The 1,753-nt window shown below is 45.0% G+C and overlaps 1 annotated feature.

Moving 5' to 3' along the window:
- Nucleotides 1-1,200: an enhancer, noted in NCBI's record as "MED14-independent group 3 enhancer chr5:36442158-36443357 (GRCh37/hg19 assembly coordinates)". NCBI's record gives its function as "activates an origin of replication core promoter dependent on BRD2, BRD4, P300/CBP and CDK7 cofactors, and independent of MED14, by STARR-seq in HCT116 cells {active_cell/tissue: HCT116}" and the evidence as "EXISTENCE:reporter gene assay evidence [ECO:0000049][PMID:35650434]".

Here is a 1,753-nt window from a genome sequence, read left to right on the forward strand (position 1 = left end):
CCCAGAGCCCTCATGCTACATTCTGCTACAGCCCCAGCTATGCTTGCCCTTCTTGGAAATCCCTCATGTTTTGAACAACCACCACACACCTCTTCTTTCCCCCTCTTGTTGCAGTCTCTCATTGCCTGAGGTAGTACCCAGAGTCCTTTGTCTCATGACCAAGAAAGTTAAGGAGTGCAGACACCAAGGTTGGAGCGAAAGTTTAATAAGTGAAAGAAGAAAGCTCTCCACTGCCGAGAGGGGACCTGAAAGAGGGTTGTTGTTTTACAATTGAATGCAAAGGTTTTAATAAAACACTGATGAGAGCTGGGCATCTTATTTATATAAGGTGCGAATTTCGGGTAGCTATACCCCTCTCTCCTAGTGCACGTGCAGGCCCTTAGTTTGAGTTACTCCATATTGCTTTGTTCGCCTTACTGTGCATGTGTCAGGAGATGGAATTTTCCATTGCGGGCATGTCTGGGCAAGTCACCTGTGTAGCCTTTCTTATCTGTATGTCTGTGGGCATGTCTTAGGTAAGCCCCACTGTGCAAGTTCCCTTATCTGTGCCTGCAGGGTGTTTGTTTGAAAGAATTTAACCGAGGACTCACCCTAACTGCCTGCTGACTGGTTTCTTTCTTTCCCCTCTCTCACTCTCACCCTGCTTCCAACCCCCTTGCTCTTCCCCGGGTCCTGTGTTTTGCAGAGAGCCAGCTCTCTGCTTGGCCCAATCTTATAAATTCATTCTTTTAGTGGTGTTTTGGGATGACAATTATTCAAAAAGATGCTTATCTCAAAAACTGTATTTTCATGTTAAACAGATCTCCAATGTTGTCACTAGAGACCTGAACTATCCAGGGAGGTAGAAGATGCTCAAAGTAGATGTTGCTGACTAGAGATTTTCAGAGTTGCCTTGGTGTACTAGAGGCCAGTGAAGGTGTTTATCCATGCACAGAGGAAATGTGAATAAGTTGTCTTGGGCTGCTGCCAAAGTAAAACTATCGGCCTCATGAGTCAATCCATGGGCAACCCAGCTACTTTACATTCACAAGTTCAGGTTTTGGGTTTTGCTGTTGTTGTTGTTTCCATCTTTGTTTTTGTTTGTTTTTTTATTTCCTGCTTCTGTGTAGGAATGAAGCTTCAGAATGAGGTGAGATCATTTCTCTAAAAAATTAAAGAAATTACTTTTTTTTTTTTTGAGACAGAGTCTCACTCTGTCATCCAGGCTGGAGTGCAATGGTGTGATCTCGGCTCACTGCAACCTCTGCCTCCTGGGTTCAAGCGATTCTCCTGCCTCAGTCTCCCAAGTAGCTGGAATTACAGGTACCTGCCACCATGCTTGGCTAATTTTTTGTATTTTTAGTAGAGACAGGGTTTGACCATGTTGGCCAGGCTGGTCTCGAGCTCCCGAGGTCAGGTGATCCACCCGCCTTGGCATCCCAAAGTGCTGGGATTACAGGTGTGAGCCACTGTGCCTGGCCAAGAAATTACTTTTTTAAAAAAAGTTTGAAAAGCTTTTAAAACACAGTTTTAAAAATGATGACACCTGCTTCCCAGTGATTTCATGACCAGTAATAAGATAATGCCTGTAAGACACAGAGCATGGTGTTTGACAGAGTAGGAGCTCAACAGCTGCTGATTCCCACACTCCTGTTTTCTTGCCCCATTTCCCTCTCCACCCCTTAAATCCTTTGCTCCCATCTTGCACTTGTCCCATGTTCTTTAACACTTTGCACAATACATTCCGGAGAGCGTTCTCCAGAGCCCCTGCGAA

The sequence above is a fragment of the Homo sapiens genome, chromosome 5 (assembly GCF_000001405.40).
Source record: "Homo sapiens chromosome 5, GRCh38.p14 Primary Assembly".
Lineage (NCBI taxonomy): Eukaryota > Metazoa > Chordata > Mammalia > Primates > Hominidae > Homo > Homo sapiens.